This window comes from Homo sapiens, chromosome 22, assembly GCF_000001405.40.
Source record: "Homo sapiens chromosome 22, GRCh38.p14 Primary Assembly".
Lineage (NCBI taxonomy): Eukaryota > Metazoa > Chordata > Mammalia > Primates > Hominidae > Homo > Homo sapiens.
Window position 1 is genome coordinate 26,899,688 of NC_000022.11, and position 22,681 is coordinate 26,922,368.

Genomic DNA, 22,681 nt, shown 5'->3' on the forward strand with positions numbered 1-22,681 from the left:
GGCCATGGCTACCAGTTAATGGGAGTTGGCGTGCTAAAGGAGGCCTGTTTGCACTATGGGACTAAGCAACATTTCCATGTGAGATTGATTGTTGCTGATGAACTAGAACCCCAGTACCATCTGTAGTGGCTGGTGTTCTATTGTCCACATGATAGCATTTCAAAGCAGAGGGGATGGAAAGGCATTGTGGGAAGGCTCTATAATAACTATATAAAATTATAAAGTATGCCATGTATATCCTAGCATTTGTCATTGGATGTATGAATATACCCTTAAGTATATCCATAGAGGGTATGGTCAGACCATACCCTCTGTTTACTTAAGCTGAGCGTTTAGGACCTCAGGATATACAGGCTCACTGAATGCTAAATCTCAGAGATAATGATTTGCCTTCTATTGGAATAAGCAAAATCAGTAATTTCCATGATCACTAAAATGTGTTGTTTTTTTTCTTTCCAAATAGAAATAAAGACATAATCCAACATTTCTGTTTAAATCACCCTTTACATGTCTGGGAAAAAAGAAAAAAAAACTTTTCTTAATAGAGAAACTGGGAAACTAACTTTTAATTAATTAATTGATGTTCAAAAAATTCCCCGTTGCCTAGTGTAATTGAGTGTATCTATATGTCTGTGTTCTTTGAGATTCACAGGGCCATAACTATGTGACTCACACAGTACTAAGACCTCCCTAATTAATTCCTTCCTATAACCCTTTGAGGTGGCTAATTTTATTATTCCCATTTTAGCACTGAGAAAATTGAGGCTCAGAGAGTGACCAGATCAAAGTGCTTTCAAAAACTATCTTCAAAGATATCTCCGCTATAACAAAATCCTCACCAAAAACTTACAAGAATTCTGGCTTTCTATCCTCGTTTTTGAAACCTCAATGAGAAATTGATGGCTTCAATAGAGATTCTGTGAACAGGCTTTTATCTCAGAAAGAGGGTGATATTTTCTACATTTTCCCATTTCTCCATTTAATCCCCCTTCAACCTGAGAGCTAGGCATGGTTGTGATACCCCTTTTACAGATGAGAATAAAAAGGCTTTGAAAGTGGTGCCTTGCCAAAGCTTGTAGATTTGAACCCGTGCGTGACTCCAGATCCTCTCCTCCAGGATAAACTGCCTTTCAGGATGAACTGTCCTTCTCAGGACTAAGCGCAGGCGTATATTACTTCTTTGCAGAAATGAAAATGAAGGAACAAGATGATGATGGGGATTTCCAAATGTAGGTCCTTTATTCAGATGCCAGGTTGCTGGGGGAGGAGGGAGGAGATTTGGCCACCAGGAAAGACTTGGTGTCAGACGGCTGTTTGCATATGGTGATCTTGGTTTCTTGTAGCCAGTGACAAGTGGGTTACCTGGTTCTGCGGGCAGAAATATATTTTGGGATTCACTCTGGCCCAGGCACTATGGACAATAAATATTTCCTGAATAAATGATGGTTGAATAAGTGAACGAACAAATGAATGACAGCCCTGCTTGTTAGCACCCCAGCAAATGTCGGACATCTTTGCATCTTTCAAAAACCCATTTACGACGCCGAGCCATAGACGCCTTGCCTGCTCTGCCCCCAGATTCCAGAGGCAGCCACCCCCCTCCCATCTCTGTTTGGGGAGCCACATCCAGGAGATTTGCTGCAGCAGCACGAACCGGCTGACAACACAATTCTTCCTGTTTCCAGGGAAAGCCTTTATTTTGCTTTGTTCTGCACTTGAAGGGAGCAGGCACAAGGCTGCCAGAAGAGCTCAGCTACTTTAGGCTGTGCTGTTTGGAACGAGGGATGTTAAGCAGAAAGGCCCAGGCTGGTGGGGGACTGGGAGGCTGCCTTCCAGCCCATCCCTGCTGCTTGACCTTGGATGCGTCATTGGTGGTGGAACATAGGTTCAACTATCTTTAAAATCAAGGCTGGGCCGGCGCGGTGGCTCACGCCTGGAATCCTAGGACTTTGGGAGGCGGAGGCGGGCGGATCACCTGAGGTTGGGAGTTCAAGTCCAGCTTGGCCAACATGGTGAAACCCTGCCTCTGCGGAAAATACAAAAATTAGCTGGGCGTGGTGGTGCGTGCCTGTAGTCCCAGCTATTCGGGAGGTGAAAGCAGGAGAACCACGTGAATCAGGGAGGCAGAGGTTGTAGTAAGCCGAGATTGTCTCACTGGGCAATAGCACGAGACTCTGTCTCAAAAAAAAAAAAAAAAAATCAAAAAAATCAAGGGCTGGTGAGATTGCACCACTGCATTCCAGCCTGGGCAACAGAGTGACAGCTTGTCTCAACAAAGACAAAAAAAAAAAAAAAAAAATCAAGGGCCTGGCATGGTGGGTCATTCCTATAATCCCAACACTTTGAGAGGCCCAGACAACGAGGATCGCTTGAGGCCAGGAGTTTGAGACCAGCCTCAGCAACATAGTGACACCTCTGTCTCTAAAAATTTTTTTAAAGAAATTAGCCAGGCATGGTGGCACATGCCTGTAGTCCCAACTACTCTGGAGGCCAAAGCAGGAGGATTACCTGAAGCCAGGAATTTGATACCAGCCTGGGAAACAAAGCTCTCTACAAAAATATTTTAAAAATATTAGGTGGGCATGGTGGCACGTGTGCACCTGTAGTACTCAGGAGGCTGAGGCTGGAGGATTGTTTGAGCCCAGGAATTCAAGGCTGCAGTGAACTGTGATTATACCACTGCACCCTAGCCTGGGTGACAGAGCAAGACCCTGTCTTTAAAAAAAACAAGCAGGCTGGAAGAGATGCTCCTGGAGTCTTTTCTAGGTCAACAACATACCTTCATTTAGGTGGTAGGCACACAGTGCCTTGCAGGGAGCAGGAGCTGAATACATCCTTGCTGTTCTGATTTCAAAAAACACCAATCCCTCCCTCCCTCCCTCCCTGCTCCCTCCCTTCCTTCCTTCCTTCCTCTCGCTCTCCTTCCTTCCTGTCTTTCTCTCTTTCCTTCATGTCTTTCTCCTCTCTCTCCCTCCCTCCTTTCTCTCCCTCCCTCCCTCCCTCTCTTTCTTTTCTTCTTTCTTTCTTTTCCTTCCTTCCTTCCTTCCTTCCTTCCTTCCTTCCTTCCTTCCTTCCTTCCTTCCTTCCTTCCTCTCTCTCTTTCCCCCCCCCTCCCTCCCTGCCTCCCTTTCTTTCCTTCTTTCCTTCTTTCTTTCCTTTTCCACCTAGGCTGGAGTGCAGTGGGCGCGATCTCGGCTCACCACAACCTCCTCCTCCCCGGTTCCAGCAATTCTCCTGCCTTAGCCTCCTGTTTGTTTTAATAAAGATAGGGTTGCACTTTGTTGCCCAGGCTGGTCTGAACTCCTGACCTCGGGTGATCTGCCTCCCTCGGCCTCCCAAAGTGCTGGGATTGCAGGCATGAGCCCTTAGTCCTTCAGCAAGGGCCGGCCCTTGCTCCTTTCCTGAGCGGCTATTTTGAGAGCGATGGAGGGGAGAGGGTATTAGATTCCTGACCTTGAGGTCGGGGAGGGGAGGGTGATGCTAGTGGTGGACGAAAGACTTGAAGATAATGAGAAATTGCATCAACTTTACCCAGGCTGTTTCTGGGTCTAGAAGCAAGCAAAAATAAGGCGGGAGCGGGTGGGGGGAAGAAAAAGAGGCATTTATTTTGGAGCCGTATCGGAAGCACAAGTGTCATGGGCTGAAAGGCCGCCTTCTCCTGCGGGCTAAGGGTGTGGGCGACAGCTCGCACATTCAAATAAGGGAGCGATTACACGGCGCTTGCTTCTGAAGACGGATTTCCTGGTAGGGGGAGCGGGCGGGGGGGCTGGGCCGGTGTAAAGGGGACGGCAACATTAGGCTTTGGCAAGTTAATTAGGGTTCAGGAGTCCAGCGAGCGAGCAGGGGGAGAGGCTGGATTTGCATAAATCCATTTACATAATGTTCTTCACAAATTGTGCAGCCAGAAGGCAGGGAGGGGGTGGGGAGGGAAAGGGCTGGGGAGGGGGAGGTGGTTAGACGCCCGAGGCAGCCGCCGCCAAAGGGGGAAGGGCGAGGCCCGAGATGGGACCCGCTCCTCCTTCGCCGCTTCACCTCTCCCCTGCTCTTGTCTGCACCAGGGCCACCCCTGCCTATCTCGGCCGTCACCTCCATTCTGGGCCGGACCCCACACTGTCTCTCATCATAGGGCCGGCCCAGAGCAGTCAGATTTCTAAACTGCCTCTATGGTCACGGGTCTCCCTTGCTTTAACCCTTTCCGGGACTCCTGGCTGCACTCAGGGTCAAGTCCCGGCTCCCTAGCCAACCTATGTGACTCCTCGTGGTGGTCTTGCCCCTTTCACCCTCCTGACCTGGCTTCCTTCTAGTCCCCTCTTCCTAGCTAAGCTCAGTCCCACTGAAAAGCTCGTGGCCCTGGACTCCTTTGGCTCTCACAAGCCTCCTCCAGTCCTGACTTGTCACCTGTCCTGGAATGTCCCTACCACAAAAGCTAGCTTCTTTGTGGCAACCTCACCTCCTGCTGCACCAAATACTCTGCTCTTGGGGCATTTTCTGAAGTCCCCATAACTTCCTCAAGTGGACTGCTAGCCCCCTTTTGTGCGACCAGGGAACCTTCACCCACCTGTATTCCAGAACTTACCACGCTGTCTAGTAACTGCACTGGGGAGGGTCTCTTTCCCCACTGGGCTGTGACCGCTCCAGAAAGGAACTTGCCTGATGCATCTCTGCATCCAGCTGGGGCAGGAGTATGCAAACAGTAGATGCCCAAAACTGTTGATTGAATGAATGAAATATGTCATCTCAGCCAGAGATTGAGACCAGGTTTCAGTCTGCCTGAAATGAGCCTGACCAGCTCTCTAATTTCTCTGGGGTTCTATCCACACCTTCTTTCCTTATTGGGTTCCTCAGCCTGTCCTGTGTTAGTAGCTGCAGAGGATGAAGAAGCTGTGGTGACCTCTGAGCCCAATTCTCCACTGAGGGAAGCAGGCTAAGGCAAGCAAAAGGGGAAAGGGCAACCCAGGCTGGGCACACAGCATGTGCAAAGGCCTGGTGGCCGGAAAGTGCATGGAATGTTTGGAATGTGGAAGAGGGTTGAGTGGGTTAAAGCCAGAGATGAAAGATGGAAAATATGGCGAGGCTCCTATTCTGAGCTTAAGAGGCTGAAAAAGTTCTGGTAGATTTTTTTGAGCCTCTGAAGCTTTGTGATCAAGGAGAAGAAAGAAGAAAGTTGCAACCACTGAGCACCTACTGCGTGCCACTGAACAGGTGATGTAATTCAATGGCCAAGCACAGTAGGGATTATTCTCTCCATAATTACCAGTGTGGAGGATGACGAGCCTGCTGGAGTCACTTGCCTGAAACCTCACAGCTGCAAAATGGTCAAGCAGGGCTTTGGACCCCTGGTTTCCAAATCCCACGCTGCCTTCTGAATTCAATGTATTTATGTTTTAGAAAAGCATATAAAATGGAAGGGAAATAGAAGGGAGAAAGAGGCAAAGAGAAAGACAGTTGGGGGGAGGCAAGCAGTCATTTAGAAAGAGAAAGAGAAAAAGGGAGATAGAGAAGAGAGGAGAAAGACGGGGGAAGAAAGGGAGAGAAAAGAGGAGAGGGAAGAAAGATAAAGAGAGGAGAGAGGAGAGGGAAAGCGAGAAGAGAAAGGAAGAACAGAGGAGAGAAGAGGGAAAGAAGAGAAAAGAAAAAGAAAGGAGAAGAAAGAAAAAGAAAAGATCATGTCCTTTGCAGGAACATGGATGGAGCTGGAGGCCATTATCCTTAGCAAAATAACACGGGAATGGAAAACTGAATACTGCATATTCTCATTTATAAGTGGGAGCTAAATGACAAGGATACATGGACACATAGAGGGGAACAACACGCACTGGAACTTATCGGAGGGTTGAGGATGGGAGGAGGGAGTGGATCAGGAAAAATAACTAATGGGTAGTGGGCTTCATACCTGGGTGATAAAATAATCTGTACCACAAATCCCTATGACACAGGTATACCTATATGGTAAAACTGCACATGTACCCCTGAACTTAGAGTAAAACTTAAAAAAAAAAAAGAGAGACAAGAGGGGAAGGCAAAACAGAGAGAGAAGAGAGGGGAGGGAAGAAAGAGGAGAAAGAGACGAGAGCGAGAAAGTGAGAGAGGGGAGGGGAGAGAAAGAAGAGAAGGGAGAAAGAAGGGAGAGGGAAGGAGAGAGAAAAGAGGAGTGAGGGAAAGAGAGAAGAGGAGAGAGAGGAAGAGAGGAGGAAGTGGAGGAGAGAAGGCTGGGAGGAAGGAGAGGAGACTCAGGTGTCAGTCACCCTGCACGGCGGCAGGGATGCTCCTGCTCCTAGACAGAGCTGTCCAATAGAACTCTCTGTGATCTCTAATCTGCCCTCCAACTCAAGTGCTCAGTAGCCTCAGGTAGCTACTGAGCACTTGAAAAGTGGTTAGTGCAACTGAGAAGCTGAATTTTTATTGTATTTAGATTTATATTTAAATGCTCACATAAAGGTAGCAGCTACAGTATTGGACGGTGCAGCTTTAAGAGGAGTCCTTCTTTTTTCCATCAAGGTCCTGGCTTGAATTTTCTCTGGGTCCTTTTTGGCCTCCCCTTCTGGGACTCTGTTCTGAACCATGCATCCCTGATGTTTCCTTCCCTCATATTCCTGGACATCCTACCCACACTGAGGTTTAATTTTAGCTGATTCTCTCTCAAGGACAAAGTATATATTTTTATTTTAATTTATGTCGCCTGAACCATTTCCAAGTTTTACTTTTAGAACCTGTCAATATTAGTGACATGTGGCATTTTAGGTACTTTTCTGCTGGTGGGGCCTAAATTTATTGTCATTTTATGTCACTCGGCAAAATGCACAAAATGCCAGAAGTGTTATAAACAGAGACGATTTATGTTCGGGTTGGGGTGAGGTTAAGAGAATGAATATAATCAATTTTTTTTTCAGAGACTTTTATGCGAGTGTGAGGGCCAGCAGGTGCACATTTGAAGCTCAGTGGGAAGTGTTTTCCAAGCAACAGGAGACAGCAGATGCAGATGGGGTCCAATTACTGCTGCTCACGGCTGATCACGCCATGCACTTGTGTGCGGATACCTGGCTCCTGGTCTCAGGCACCTAGTATGGGGCTATGCACACGGTAGGTGCTCAGTTAAAGCTTATGGAAGAAGGGATGGAGAAAGGGCAAGAGACGTAAGTGGGAATTCTAAAGACTCTTCTGTTCAACCCCCGTCAGAGTGATATTTCTTGACCTTGTCACTTAACTGCTCAAAACCTTTCAATGGCTCCCTAGTACCCCTATGTTCTGACTTACAGGGTCCTTCAAGATCTGCACCTGAGGGTGTCTCTAAGGGACTTGGAATGCTCTGAAAGTTTCATATCTCTGCTCCTTGCCTTCCCATGAGCTCCTCCTGTTCTTGGGAGTGCTCACTCCTCTTTCTTGACCCTTCTTCAGTAACCAACTCAAACTCAAACTCAAACTCCTCTGTCCTTGCACCCTTTACCTTTTATCCCTCCAGTGAGAGTTTGGTGTTTATTGTTGGTACCTTATATATAGTCATCCCTGGGTACCCATGAAGGATTGGTTCCAGGACCCCCTGTGGATACCAAAATCCACGAATCCTCAAGTCACTGATACAAAATGACATAGTATTTGCATATAACCTACACAATCCACCTGTATGCTTTAAATCATTTCCAGATTACTTAACAATACCTAATACAATGTAAATGCTATGTAAATACTTGTTATACTCTATTGTTTAGGGAATAATGACAAGAAAAGAAGTCTGTACATGTTCAGCACAACCATTCTTTTTTTTTTTGAGACAGTGTCTGTCTCTGTCACTCAGGCTGGGGTTCAGTGGCTCCACTATAGCTCACTACATCCTCCACCTCCTGGGCTCAAGAGGTTCTCCCACTCAGCCTCCTGAGTTGCTAGAACTGTAGGCATGCACCACCACACCCAGCCTATTTTTTGATTTTTTTGGAGAGGCAGGATCTTGCTTTGTTGCCTAGGCTGATCTCAAATTCCTGAGCTCAAGCAATTCTCCTGCCTCGGCCTCCCAAAGTGCTGGGATTATAGGTGTGAACCACTGCGCCTGGCTGAAAATACTTATTATGTTACATCTTCTTATGTTACATTGAGTGGGTAAGTGAGTGAGAATCCTTAAATATAACAGAGAAACAGAAAACTAGGGGCCTGTAGATTGTGTTGCTTTACAAGATTCAGGTGAATTGCTTTTTGACTCTTCCAATAAGCTCTCAAGTATATTTAACATTTTTTTTTTTTTTTTTTTTTTAACAGAAGTGGTGTCTCACTATGTTAGGCCAGGCTGGTCTCCAACTCCTGGCCTCAAGTGATCCTCCCCCTCCAGCCTCCCAAAGTGCTGGGATTACAGGCATGATATACTGCGCCTGGCCTGCAACCGTCCTTTTTTCCCCCTGATTATTTTCGATGTGTTGTTGGTTGAATCCACAAATGCAGAATCCAAGAATATGGAGGGCCAACTGTATGTCTGCCTTAGAGGGCTCCACAGGTTGCCTCATTTGCTTCCCTGTTGCCACCAGAAGATCATGCACCACTGGGCGGCATGGTCTGGAGAGTCCCATTCATCTTCATCGGGGCCTGAACAGAGAAACTGACAAATTAAAGATAATTGAATGACATAATGAATGGGTGCAAATTGGGTTGGTCCCTCACCATCTCCACTTCTTAGCCATGTTGGATCTGCCAAGTCAATTACCACCATTGCCTTCTCACTTCCCCATTTCCAAACCTCATGACTGTTACCTTTTCCTCCGTTCTCCTTGTCCTTATGAGTTTATGCCTTTAAAACAAATCCTGTATTATAATAGTATTGTCTTTTAGGGAAGGAAATATATTAGAGGAGTGTGTTCAATCTACCATCTTTCCTGGAAGTCAGTAACAAATGAAAGGAAATTTACCTGATAGATTGTGGGCAAGTCACTTCTCTCCGTACGGTCTCTAATTCTTCACCTGTGGCATGAGGAAGTTGGGCTGGATGAGTTCTAGGGTCCAGCCAAAGTCTGCGAGGGGGTCAGCGCTGGATTAGAGATGTCTGGTGGACCGTGGGCATGGATTTTACATAACAGCAGTCACTCTCTGGGATCCCTACTCTGGCCAGTGCTCCCCTTGGACTGCTAATTCTCTTTCCACACATTCAGGTTCTGACTCCCAAACTCTGAGGACGATGGCAGGTTCTGAGGTCCCTCCCATCTTGTACAACTCACAGTGACAGTAACTGTCTCAGCCTGTTCGGGCTGCTTATAACAAAGGAGCATGGACTGGGTGGCTCATAAACAACAGGAATTTATTTGAGGCATGCTACCCCAAACATCACAAGTCCACTCCCTGTCTGGGAAGCAGAAGGCTGAAAGTCCTACATCAGGGCCAGCAGAATTGATTCTGATGGGGGTTTTCTTCCAGGTCGCAGACTATCGACTTCTTGCTGTATCCTCACATGGTGGAAAGGGTGCTGGGGAGCCCCATGCGGTTTCTTTAATGAGGGCACTAATTCTGTTCATGAGGGCTCCACCCTCATGACCTAATCACCCCCACAGGTCCAGCCTCCTAACAGCATCGTGCTGGGGGTAAGGATTTCAATATATGATTTTTGGGAGAACACGTTCAGTCCGTAGCAGTGACTGACACTTGTCCAGTTCAGTGGCTTACTCAGAGACCTCACCTTGACCTAATGCTTGTGCCAACCTGGTGAGAAATCTGGAATCCCATTCCACAGATTAGAAATCTGAGGTTTAGAGAGGGGAGGGGACTCACCTAAGGCCACGGAGCAAGTCAGTAAGGACCCAAGCTGGCAGTCGTGGTCTAACTGACCTACATTCCTGGAGCGTCCAGCATCCTGCCCATGGTGGCTGCTCAGCTGATATTTGTTTGGAATGAAAGGTGACCACACTTGAGTTGGGGTAGTCAGGATCATGGCGACAGCCGTGAGGGCAAGAAACAGCATTTTAAAAATTATTTACTTAGTGTGAGATTTTCAGAGCTATTCCATGCCACAACGTGGATCGGTACTTCTTCATTCTTTATGGCTGAATGATATTCCATTGTATACCACATGTTGCTTATCCATCTGCTAATGGGCATTTGAGTTGTTTTTACCTTTTGGCTATTGTGAACAATGCTGCTCTGAACATTCATGTGCAGGTGCATGTCTGACTCTAGGTGAAAGAAGCTCAACACAAAAGGTCACAACTATATACAGTTCTATTTGTATGAAATATCTAGAATAGGTAAATCCATAGAGACAGAAAGTAGATTAGTGGTTGCTGGAGCTGGGAGAAAGAGTGAAAAGGGAATGGCAGCCAGGCGCAGTGGCTCACGCCTGTAATCCCAGCACTTTGGGAGGCCGAGGCAGGCGGATCACAAGGTCAGGAGATCAGGATCATCCTGGCCAACATGGTGAAACCCCATCTCTACTGAAAAATACAAAAATTAGCTGGGCGTGGTTGTGTGTGCCTGTAGTCCCAGCTACTCAGGAGGCTGAGGCAGGAGAATTGCTTGAACCCAGGAGGCGGAGCTTGCAGTGAGCCAAGATCGCGCCACTGCACTCCAGCCTGGCAACAGAGTGAGACTCTGTCTCAAAAAAAAAAAAAAAGGGAAAGGCTACTGACGGTATGAGGTGTTCTTTGGAGGTAATGACAATGTTTTGGAGCTAGACAGAGCTATGGTTGCACAACACCGTGAATGAACTAATGCTATTGAATTGGATACCTTAAAGTTGTTAATTTTATGTAATGTGAATTTCACCTCAATCAAACAATGAATGACTAAAGACTTCTCTCCAGTAACATTCAACAAAGCCTTCTGTGTGTCTAGTAAGTGTTTGGTTCTCCAGTTTAAAACACATAGCACACACTTGGGAAACATTTGTGATATCAGTTCACCAACGGGCAAGTTGATGTTTCTGTCTTCAGCCTTGATACTCCCAGTCAAGTTCCCAGACCAGTGGCTCAGCATCCCCAGGAGCTGGTTGGAAATACAGAATTGTTGGCAACCCCAAACCTAGACCTACTGAATCTCTGCCGTATGGCATGCGTTTGCCTCTGCAACCCACTTTCCTGCTGTCCTTGTCTAATCACTGAAGAGAGAAACTGTAAGAGAGGGATTGAGGCTAAATGTCCCTGAAGTTCGTCCTCGATGAATAGATGTGCGGCTCACCTTCTCCCTCTCTCTCTGTCTGTCTTTTTTTCCCCCTCTTTCTCTCTTTTCTCCCAGGTCACTCTCTTTCTGTCCCTCCCACCCTCTCCTCTCTCTCATACCTCCCCCATTCAGTAGAGTCCCTTCTCTCCTGCATTCTCTGAATTGATTTTTCTCACTCATCTTGGCAGGTTAGTAATCACCATTCTCAGCAGAAATTCCTTCCGTTTCGTTACACCGGGTGAGAAATCCTGGGCAGCAGGGGGTGGGGTAGGGGCTGTGTTTCATTTCACTCCCATCTCTGTGTCAGGTGGGGAGGGAGGAATCTCCACACTGAGTATCCCACAGGAGGAAGGCCAGTGCTGGGAAGGGATGGAGACCCCTTGGTGGCTCTTTTCAGCTTCAAGGTCCTGTGCTGCGGCTCATCTCAGCTCCCAGGGCCCCTGCCTTTCTCTATCCTCAACAATCGCTCACATTTGAGGGGCTTCCATGGCTGGCAGAACCTATTTCTATGCATTGCTCAGTTTAATCTTCACAACATTTCTGAGACATTGGCATTGTCACCTCCTTCATGTTACAGGAGAAGAAAGTGAGGCTCAGAGATACTTGCAGGACACCTGGGAATGAGAGCCAGTCTCCAGGCTCGGGCAAGGTTGTCCTGGACTATACCAGAGTCATGTAATAAAAGGATCATGCTGCCCATCCACCTGCCAGCCATGGTGGGTTCTAGCAGAGAGAGCCCAACATTTGTGATCCTATGGACTTGGGGTCCATTCCCAGCTCTGCCACTTACTGGCCATGCCACTCTGGGAAAATTGCCCCATCCTTCTGGCCCTTCCTCTCCTTAGCTGTTCACACGGGATGGGGGGGATGGGACAGACCTGCCAGAGTACAACACCTAAGAACAAGGAATTCTGTAATGCAAACCAGCTGTGGAACCCAGGGGAGGATCCACCATCTCTTGGAGGTACCATTTCCCTATTCTCAAAGCATATTTAGAAAAAACACCTACTTTCTGTGTTGTTGCAAGAATTGCGTGAACTATTACAGCTCTCATGCAGCTTTTAGCGCATGCCTGGAACACGAACAAGCACTGGATAAATAAATACCCTGGATGGAAATAATAATATTGTAGTTCAAGGATTTAACATGCTCTCACAATGGCAGATGGACCCTGAATTCAGAGATGCAGAATATGAACGAAACGTGTGCTTAGAATTAAGAACATCATCCTGTATATGGTGCCTGCCCCATGTGAGGCACAAGGTGAAACATTTTACAGACGTTTTCCTACTGAATCCCGATGAAGAGTCCTACAGGGAGGGTGTAGTCTCCCCATTACATAGGCGAGAAAACTGAGGATCAAGGAGATGAAGTTACTTCTAACTCCTATAGTGTGTAAGAGGTAAAGCTGGAATCGACTGAGATGAGTCTGCTACCAAATCCAAAGTACAGATGAAAAAAACAAAAAATCAGATGTGAATAAGTTTTGCAAACTACATCGTTCTAGTCATGTGTAGGGTGAAAGATGGAGGAAAACATCATCATCATCATCACACTGTCATATCTATTAAACATTAGATATCATCATCATATCTACTAAGCGTTAACTGCTTATCACGTGCCAAACACTGAGCTAAGGGATTTATATGGATTACCTCATTCAAGCTCTGCATAGCAACTCTGTTATAATCCTCATTTCACAGATAAGCAGACAGGCTCAGAGTGGTAAAGCAATTTATCCTAGGTCACACAGCCAGGAAGTGGTAAAGCTGGATTCTGACTTCAGGGCTTACAGGCTCCAGAGTGGAGTCCTTAACCCTTCGCCTGAAATTGGAAGCTACTAATGTTGGCTGCAGGGAGTTTAACTGGCAGGACCCTCTCAGCCCTTGGGGACCTCCCTATCACCCCGTGCCCCGATCTGGGCTCCAAACTGGGAGTGGACTAGGCTCCTACCCACGTCTCTGTGATCAGCCCATCTTCAGATCAGGCTGTCCCTCTCCTAGCCCGTCGTTGGAGCCCCAGCCGGGACCATGCTGTATGCAGATCACCCCATTAAAATTTCATGTGGATTCAAAAATTCAGTGTTGACTCCGGTGACGCAAATAAGTATGAAAATTCCGAGGAAGGCACACTGTTACTGAAATCAAATGGTTGAACGGCCACTAATGAGGCAGACAAGGAGCCTCGCTCACCCTCTGAGGATTGAGGAGAGACGAGAGGAGCAATCGCGCTACATTATTCATGCCCTCTCGTTTGAGTTTCAGATCTCAAGGAGGCTCTGGAAGGGGAAGGCAGAGAGGGCAGAGGCGGCGGGAGGCGGGGGTGGCAGCCTAGACAGGGCCCCACTCTGCCAGCTGTGGAAGGCCGGGTGACTAATTGACAACTACTCAATGATCCCCTTCCCTAGGGCGCCCCTCTTCCATCTCTCATTTTTAGCTCCGGCCCACAAGCACCTCCCTTGCACCTGCCACGGTGCCCAGATTTCCCCCAGCAGTGGATGTGTGAGTGTGAGATGCAGAGGAAGACATGGCGTCTGGGCGGTCCTGGCTCTGTGTGATCTCGGGCAAGCGACTAAACCTCCCTGAACCTTGATTTTTTGTTCCCCTTGTAAAATGGGAAAGCAGAAGGAGCGGCTCCTCTACCTACTCTGGGGAGAGGTAGCATTTCTGAGAGTCAAATGCCGCATCGCCATGCTTCTCAAGTTTGAACGCTCAGGTGAATCCCGGAGGAACTTGTTGGGATACTGGTGCTGATTCAGTAAGGCTGGGGCAGGGCCTGAGATTCTGCATTCCAACCAGCTCCCAGGTGAGGCCCATGTTGCTGGCTTGCAGCCCACCCTGTGAGCAGCGGGGCCATACAGATAGGAAAGCACTTTATAGCGACCACTCGCTGGTCTAAGCCTCTCTGTGCATCAGCATTACTGGGGAGTTTGTAAAAACACGATGCCCTTCCCCATCCCCCCAGGGTTTGCTTTAATTGGTTAGGTCAAGGCACTTGTACTTCTTAATTCTGCCCCCGACACCACCCACCATGGCCCCTATATGCAGCCAGATTTTTGTAGTTCTTGTTACTAATATGTCTTTATTGTTTATGCCCCTCGTAGTTTCTTTTTTCTTTTTTCTTTTTCAAGACGGGGCTCACTCTGTTGCCCAGGCTGGAGTGCAGTGGTGCACTCAAGTGATTCTCCCACCTCAGCCTCCCCAGTAACTGGGACCACAGGCACATGCCACCATGCGTGGCTAATTAAAAAAAGAATGTAGAGACGAGATCTTGCTGTGTTGCCCAGGCCAATCTTGAACTCCTGAGTTCAAGTGATCTGCCCACCTTGGGCTCCCAAAGTGCTGGGATTACAGGCGTGAGCCACCGTGCCTGGCCCCCCTCATATTTTATGACCATTTTGCAAGCTTCGTTTTCTTCAACTCCTCTTAAACGTCAGTGCTGCAATGCTTTCTCTCTTTTCCCCGAGCAAACCCGTTGTCAAGAAAGAGGCTGAAGAACCAATTGCTCCGACTCGGAGGAGGAAGGAATGCTTCACCCCTGGGAACTGACCTGTTTCCAGGGGATGTCACCTCCCTCCAGGTTCTAATGGTGCACTTCAGGTCCCGCTCTCTGAATAGTGCACCTGGGGCAAGTTTGCACCAGGGGTCACCTGGGCAGCTGTCCCCTTTCTCTTTTTAAGATTGAGGCCTGACCACGCTGATAACACATTCTCTAGAAGTAGAAACCAGGTTTCAGACAAGCCACGGAGGTAAAACCAGCTAGAGAGGGAAGGAATTGATTTCCGCCAGAGAAACCTGCACAGAATGTACAATCCCATCGTTGTCCATGCACCCAGCATAACCAATAAACAGGTTCCCCAGTCCTCCCTGCATTTCCTAATTATTACTCAGCTATAAAAATCCCTTCTCCCTCCTGCCAACATTATCTTAGTAAACGTTATGAGCGCTCACGAGGTTAATGCAGGGCCGTAAATCCGCAGTGGGTCGAACAAGTGAGACTTGAGGAACTGTTCATAAATCTATGGGAACGGCTCCAGTTTGTTTATTTAATAAAATATCATTTCGTAGAAATGCACAGGGCACTGTGGGGTTTACACTCAGTGGGCACGCATGGAGAGGGGTGGGTGGTGGAGGTGTGCCGAGGGTGGGGGTGTGTGTGCACGGGCGTGCGGGCAGACTTCCACGTGGCCTCTGCCCGGAATCGCAGGGCGCCATGCCGTTTATTACTGCACCAGGCATTCTGAACTCAGTACCCGCTCCACTTAAGGCAGCCTGTTCTCTCAGAATTCTTTAATGGGCCTCGTCAATATTTGAAATGGTGCTACAAAGCCCAGGACACGTGTAATGCTGTTTGCACTACATGAACACCTCCTCGAGACAATCTTCTGGGATTTGTTAGGGGCGCTTTACCCACATTGGGCTGTTAAATCAACAAGAAGTCAGGCTTCCCCACATGGCATGGAATGAAATGCTAAAAGCATGGGCATTGGAGTAAACGGACATGGCTTCTAACACCAGTTTTGCCACCTGCTGGGAAGATGGCCTTGGCATTCACCTCTCTGGCCTTGGTTCCCTTCTCTGTACCATGGGGATGATTATCTGTACTTTATGGAATACAGATGTGATATGCAGAGAGACTAGAATGGAGCAGTAAGTTTGCTTTTTTTTTCTTTTTTTCTTTTTTTGAGATGGAGTCTCACTCTGTCACCCAGGCTGGAGTGCAGTGGCAAGATCTTGGTTCACTGCAACATCTGCCTCCTGGGTTCAAACAATTCTCCTGCCTCAGCCTCCTGAGTAGCTGGAACTACAGGTGCACCACCATGCCTGGCTAATTTTTGTATTTTTAGTAGAGATGGGGTTTCACCATGTTGGCCAGACTGGTCTTGAACACCTGACCTCAGGTGATCTGCCCACCTCGACCTCCCAAAGTGCTGGGATTATAGGCATGAGCCACCGCACCCAGCCTCCTTTCATTTCTCTCTCATTTACCTGTGAGTTTTCAGCATTGCAGTATGCTGAGATGACTTTGTTAATTAGTTTTGGCCGAAGGTCATCTACAGAGCCCCCATTCTTTTCTTTGTAATTGTCTGGGCCCCGAACTCAAAGGCAGTGGAATGGGATCAATGGAAACGGGAGATTCTGCAGAACTGGGATGTGGCATTCCTGCCCATAGGGGTTTAGCATCCCTGAGTCACCCCATCATAGACTGCTGTGAATCATGTTACTGAAGGAAATAGGCAGTGTGATCTAGTGGTAAGGACCATGGAGTTGGCAGCCCTGGGTTTGAGTTCTAACTCAAACACTTAATTATCTGAGTAGCCTCTGTGGCCAAGTAATTGAAGCCCTGGGTTCTTGGGAATTGGAGATCTTAATACCCACCTTCTAGGGCTCTGAGCATTTCCTGAGCTAATATGGGTAAAGTGTGTGCGTAGACATGGCACATCATATAAACACAATAAACCAAGGACAGATGGAGAGTGGAAGAGGAAAACAAGAGAGAGGCAGAAGCAAGGGTGACTAACCTGTCCCACTTTTCTTAGATCTGCTCCATTCTTAAAACAGGAAAGTCCTACATCCTGGGAACTCCCTTAGTCCTGGAAAAACTGGATGGTAGATTGCCCTTGCAGGAATGGACAAGTCAATGCTTGAAGCACTCTTAACTCTGGGTTTAATTTGGCTACAGCTATTGATGATTTAATAACAGCTGGCTGATTATGGAGGCTTCATCTAGAAGACTCTAATTCCCCAAGGCTAATTGTTGAGCGTTTGATTAACCCAGTGGCTCTCATTAGAATCACCTGAAGAGCTTTCTAAACATACCAATGACTGAGCCTCACCCCTAACTAGGGTTTCTCTGCCTTGACACTATTGACGTATCGGGCTGGATAATTTTTGTTGGGGCAGGTAGTGGGGAGTGGAACTGTTGTGTGCATTGTAGATGTTGAATAGCACCCTTGGATTCTATCCTGAAGATGCCAGGAGCCATGTCCCAGTCACATGACAACCAAAAATGTCTCCAGACATTGCTCAATGTCCCCTGCAGGGCAAAAATCACCCCCAATGGAGAACAACTGCCCCAGGCTAATTTAAGAATCTGGGGGCAGAATAGAAATTAAGCTTTGGTGTTTCACATTAAGTTCCCTGCCCCCAGATGACTATATATAGCATTTGGCTAAGACCAACCTCACTGCCAATGTGGATGGTGCTGACATCCAAGGAGAACTTTAGAAGGGGCTGGAGCTGACTTGGGGTTGGGTCCAGAATGACTATACAGAAGAGGCTGTGGGCAAAGACCTCACATGATAAGAGAGGTGCTGAATTCCTACTCTCTTTATTTATGTATTTATGTATTTATGTATTTATTTTTGAGATGGAGTCTCGCTCTGTCGCCAGGCTGGAGTGCAGTGGTGCAATCTCGGCTCACTGCAACCCTCTGCCTCCCGGTTTCAAGTGATTCTCCTGCCTCAGTCTCCCAAGTAGCTGGGACTTCAGGTGCGTGCCACCACACCCAGCTGATTTTATTTTTTCAGTAGAGACGAGGCTTCACCATATTGGCCAGGATGGTTTTGATCTCTTGACCTTGTGATCCACCCTCCTCGGCCTCCCAAAGTGCTGGAATTACAGGTGTAAGCCACCGCACCTGGCCCTACTCTTAAATATTCCCTTTCCCCCACCTTGGTATACAGTCCAAACCTCACCATTAGATATGAGTTCTTGCAGAAAGTTCAGAGTGCCGTGTTTTGAGTTGTCCTCTTTTAAGTTCTTCTGGAAGGCAGATCATGACATTGCTTTTGGTCCCTGATGACCTCTTCAAGGCGGAGACAGTGCTGGGTCTCAAGATGTTTTGACATGCTAAATCATTTGCTCCTCACAGCTCTCCTAGGTGAGGTGGATTTCTTTGCACGTTTTATGGAAAAATGATGTTCAGAGAGTTTTAAACAATTTTCTGAAGCTCACACAGCTGTTGGCAGCACAGATTAAAGCAAAACTCAGGACAATCACTAACTTCTAGTGACTGGCCCACTCTGACATGTCTCCTCCTATCCCTTAGACAGCCAAGTGCTGGCTGAGCACAGTGGGGATGGGAGTGGGACATGAATGCCCTGGCCAAGAAGGAAACATTCATGGCTGCTTTCTTTATGCCAAGTCTTGCACTTATATTATCTCCTCGAATAGTCCCAATGTCCCGGGGCAGCAATGCCTATGATTCCCCCTTTTGGGGAGGAGAATGCTGAGGCCTAGAGAAAGGAAGCAATTTGCCTAAAGTCATGCATCCATTATCAAGGGGAGGTGCCCTGATCTCAAAATCGGGGTGGGGGAAGAGCATTATAAATGGATTAATATTTTAAATTTCTCAGCTGTTAAATGAGAGGCACTCCTTTTTTTTTTTTTTTTTTTTTTTTGCAGCATTCCAGTGCTCAGAATTATTTAACAGCTCTGAATGGAAGCATCCACCAGTTGCATGTGTCTCTTTGGCATTCCTATGACTGAAAACATTAGACATTTTCTATGTTGATTGATCAGAGCTATCATCATCCCTCTGCTAACAAAGTCCTCCTTTAATTGGGAGGTTTCAGCCCAGCTTGGCTCTGATTGGCTCACACCTTACAGGAAGCATCTAAAGATCTTAGAGGCGAGACAGGAAGTGACTCTGTGTGAGGTCAGCATTTCTCCTCTTTTCTCCAAGGCCACCATAATCCTTATGGAGTGAAGGGTAGTCACAATGCCATTTTGAAAAGTGATTACGAGGATCATAATAGTACGAATGGTGAATGAGTTTTCTGACTGCCAGGAGAGGAAGCATTTTAGGATTGATTTCAGAAGAGAAATCCATCATTTTGATTTTAACTGTGGCAGTTAACACAATGTTCACTCTAATTTTAGAAACATTTTGAGACAGGAATAGGTTGTACTAGTCTTTGTCAGGCTGTAGATAACTTACATTTTCTGAGTCTAAAGTGGATACTAGCTAAAAGATTACGTTTAAAGAAAGTTCTCTTTTTTAGAATCACCCCAGAAATTTCTAGTGTAACGACAGCATTTCTTAACCCGAGTGGAACTGTGTGTGTGTGTTAAAATATCTGTGTTAATAACCAGCAACCTCGGAAGTGAGAGGGAAGGGAAAAATGGGGCTAGAAGGAGCCAAATCCCACTTGCATGGCAGAGGAGACCTGGAAGAGAAGATGGAGTTAATCAGTCTGAAATAATGGGTGATGAGAATTCTGCCATTGAACCACCAATGCTCCCTAGTGTGAAATAATGGGAAAGTCATGGAGACTGGAACAGCACATGAAAAGCCACAGAGCATAAAATACCCAGCTGTACTGGGGGTCTGGGAAAATTTCCAAGTGGTGGGAGCAAGAAGTATATGGCATGGGGAGGTCAAGAGATGTGATTAGTTGGGGAAGGTTAGGGCACACTTATCCTACAGTTTGCTTTTTCCCTGACACCCAACAGAGGCAGGCTTTAACCCCCAAGCCACCCTGTCTCCAAGGACTGGCTTGGATGCCTGTCTTCCTGAGCTCCATCTTCACTGACTCCATGGAGGACAGAAAACTCATTACCATCAGAGGCTCACCCTAGATGCCCTGTGTGGACCTGTGACTATGTTAGGTTTTGTGGCAAAGGAGTATTAAGATTGCAGGTGAAATTAAGTCTGCAGAGCAGTTGACCTTAAAATGGGGGAGATTATCCTGGATTATATGGATAAGCCCAGTGGAACCACAAGCGTCCTCAAAAGTGGAAGAGGGAGGCAGAAGAGAGAGAGAACTATGGAGATGGCAGCTTGAGGAGGACAGCTTAAGAATGCTGGCTTTGAAGATGGAGAAGGGGGCCAAGAGCTAAGGAATGAGGGCAGCCTCTAGAAGCTGGAAAAGGCAAGGGAACTGATTTTCCCCTGTTCTCCAGAGGAAGAACAGCCTTGCTGACACCTTCACTCCAGCCCAGTGAGACCCATTTCAGACCTCTGACCCTCAGAACTGTAATATAATAAGCTCCTAATATTTTTAAGTCACTTAATATATGCTAATTTGTTTAAGCAGCAATAGAAAAGGCCCTTAGTTCTTTAATCTCATAAATGGGTTTAATAACCATTTCATTTTGTAGTGTATTGAAAATTGAGTTAATGTACTACACCGAGTGTTTAGCACAGCCCCTGGACAATGGTACCTTTTTTATTGATGCCACAGGTGGAATGACCAGTGGTCCTCCTGGCTTAGTCCTCTGGCTGCTTTAATGTGGGACTAGAAGAAAGAGACCTAAATTAGGAATCTGACAGACCTGGGTTCAAGTCCCGGCTCTGCCTCTTTCTAATGGCCTTGGACTTGTTCCTACCCTGGAAGAAGTTTTCCAGTCTGTCTTATGGGTGTGGGAGGGATGATCTATCACATCTACCAGCAGTGAGCCTCCTGTGAAGATTCAGAGTGGGTGGGCTTTTGTAGCCCACTCAAGGCCCTCAGAGAAGTTTTCTGTAAATGTGGTACCTTGCACCAACTCCTTGGGAAGAGATTTTCTCAGGCTTCAGAACTGAGGGTATTCACCCCTGACCCACTTGCTTCTTTCTCCAGGGAACGCTCATGGATTCCTGAGAAGTTGGCTGGAACTAAGGGAGCATTCAGAGACCACAGATCCAGTTGACTGGTCCCTGCTGACATCCAGTCCACGTTGTTGGCCACATCAGCTCCTCTTCAAACTCATGATGCAAATCAACAGCTAAACATGTTGATATTTTTTGTTTCTCTCAGCTAAGTGGATCCCTGAGTCCTCCTGGTGCAGTGGAAAGATTTGAGTTTTGCAGCCAAATAGAGTGAGGTTTAAATGGTGGCTAAGCGGCTCACGCCTATAATCCCAGCACTTTGGGAGGCATAGGCGGGTGGATCATCTGAGGTCAGGAGTTCTAGAGCAGCCTGGACAACATGGTGAAATCCCGTCTCTACTAAAAATACAAAAATTAGCCGGACGTGGTAATCCCAGCTACCTGGGAGGCTGAGACAGGAGTATTGCTTGAACCCGGGAGGCAGAGGTTGCAGTGAGCCAAGATCGTGCCACTGCACCCCAGCCTGGGTGACAGAGTGAGATTCCATCTCAATAAATAAGTAAATAAATAAATACATAAATGGTGGCTAAGCCACTTGCTTGTGAGCAAAATGGTTAGCCTGCATGAGCCTTGGTTTATCCACCTGATAAATGAAGATACTAACAGTCAACATTAGATAACCATAGAGCCTAACTCATAAGGCCATTACGAGAATTGAGATGTTAGTTCAAGTAAAATGGTGCTATCATTTGGATGATTGTCTACTCCAAGACTCATGTTGACATTTAGTCCCCAGTGTTGGAGGGTGGGCCTCATGAGAAGTGTTTGGGTCACGGGGAAGATCCCTCATGAATAGGTCAATACCTTCCCTCGGGAGTGAGTGAGTTCTTACTCTACTAGCTCCTGCAAGGGCTGCTTGTTGAAAAAAGCCGGGTATCTCCCTCTGCCTCTTTTGTTTTCTGTCTCCATGTGGTCTGTATACACACCAGCTTCCCTTCGCCTTCCACCATGAGTGGAAGCAGCCTGAGGCGCTCATCACATGCCCAATCTTGAACTTCTCAGCTCTCAGAATTGTGTTCCAAATAACTCTTTTCTTTATAAAGTACCCAGCCTTTATAACAACACAAGATGGACTAAGATACTTGTTATGATGCAGGAGGAATGAAGAAGTGTGGGAAGTATTACCTCGCTAGTAGGCGAAGGAGGGCATAATAATTACAGAAAAATTCCCATAGGAGGTTATACTTGAGCTGAACTTCAATGGGTGAAATGGATGTAAACAGTTTAGCACAATTCCTGATGTGAATTGTGTGCTCAGAAATTAAAAGAGAGAGAGGAAGAAATTGGGTTCTCTGAGGTTAGTGGGGGACTAGGATCCCTCCTTGCCCCCTACTGAACCTGATCCACCCCAGTCCTCACCCTTCTTCTCTTCCTGCTTATTCCTCATGCCTCATCGCTGCATTCACTCTTGGTCCTGGCCCCTCACCCTGCATTCTACTGCTGGGGCAGCCAGCAGAGACAGACATGACAGGAGACAGGGAAAGTCAGAACTGGGAAGAGGGCTTGAAGAAGATTGATACTGGCATTGTTGTCATGGCAACACCAGGATGAGCTAGAGGCCCCACTGCTGGGATCAGCTTCTGTAGTTCTTCTCAGATTCGAGAGCCTTTGAGGGTAGGCAAGAAGCTCAGATAGGGGCCCTGAGAAAAACAGGTGGGGCCTCAGGGTGACAGCCAGTGAGAGGGCAGGCACTGGGACCTGGGATGCCCTTCTGACAACATCTGCTGAATGCATGGGACCTTAGAGAAGACGTGTCCAAACCCCTCAATTGAGTCATGGGGAACTGAGCACTAAGGAGGAGAGTGGAGAGAACACATTTCCTGAGTACCTACTATGTACCTGGCACTTACTGCTAGCTTTTAATAACATGTCTCTTCACCAGACTATGTGATCTGCCAGAGCAGGGGGGCATCTTGGGTGAGGCTAGATGTAGAGACACCTGAGTCCAAATGCTAGCTCTGCC

General features: G+C 47.1%; 1 long non-coding RNA gene across 1 annotated transcript; it reads left to right on the forward strand.

The window, feature by feature from the left end:
• Positions 1-3,604: 3,604 nt before the first annotated feature.
• On the forward strand, positions 3,605-20,924 carry LINC01422 (long intergenic non-protein coding RNA 1422). The gene is made up of 3 exons (NR_110540.1): positions 3,605-3,744; positions 6,891-7,080; positions 20,690-20,924. It is a non-coding gene; the product is annotated as a long intergenic non-protein coding RNA 1422 (long non-coding RNA).
• Positions 20,925-22,681: the final 1,757 nt, after the last annotated feature.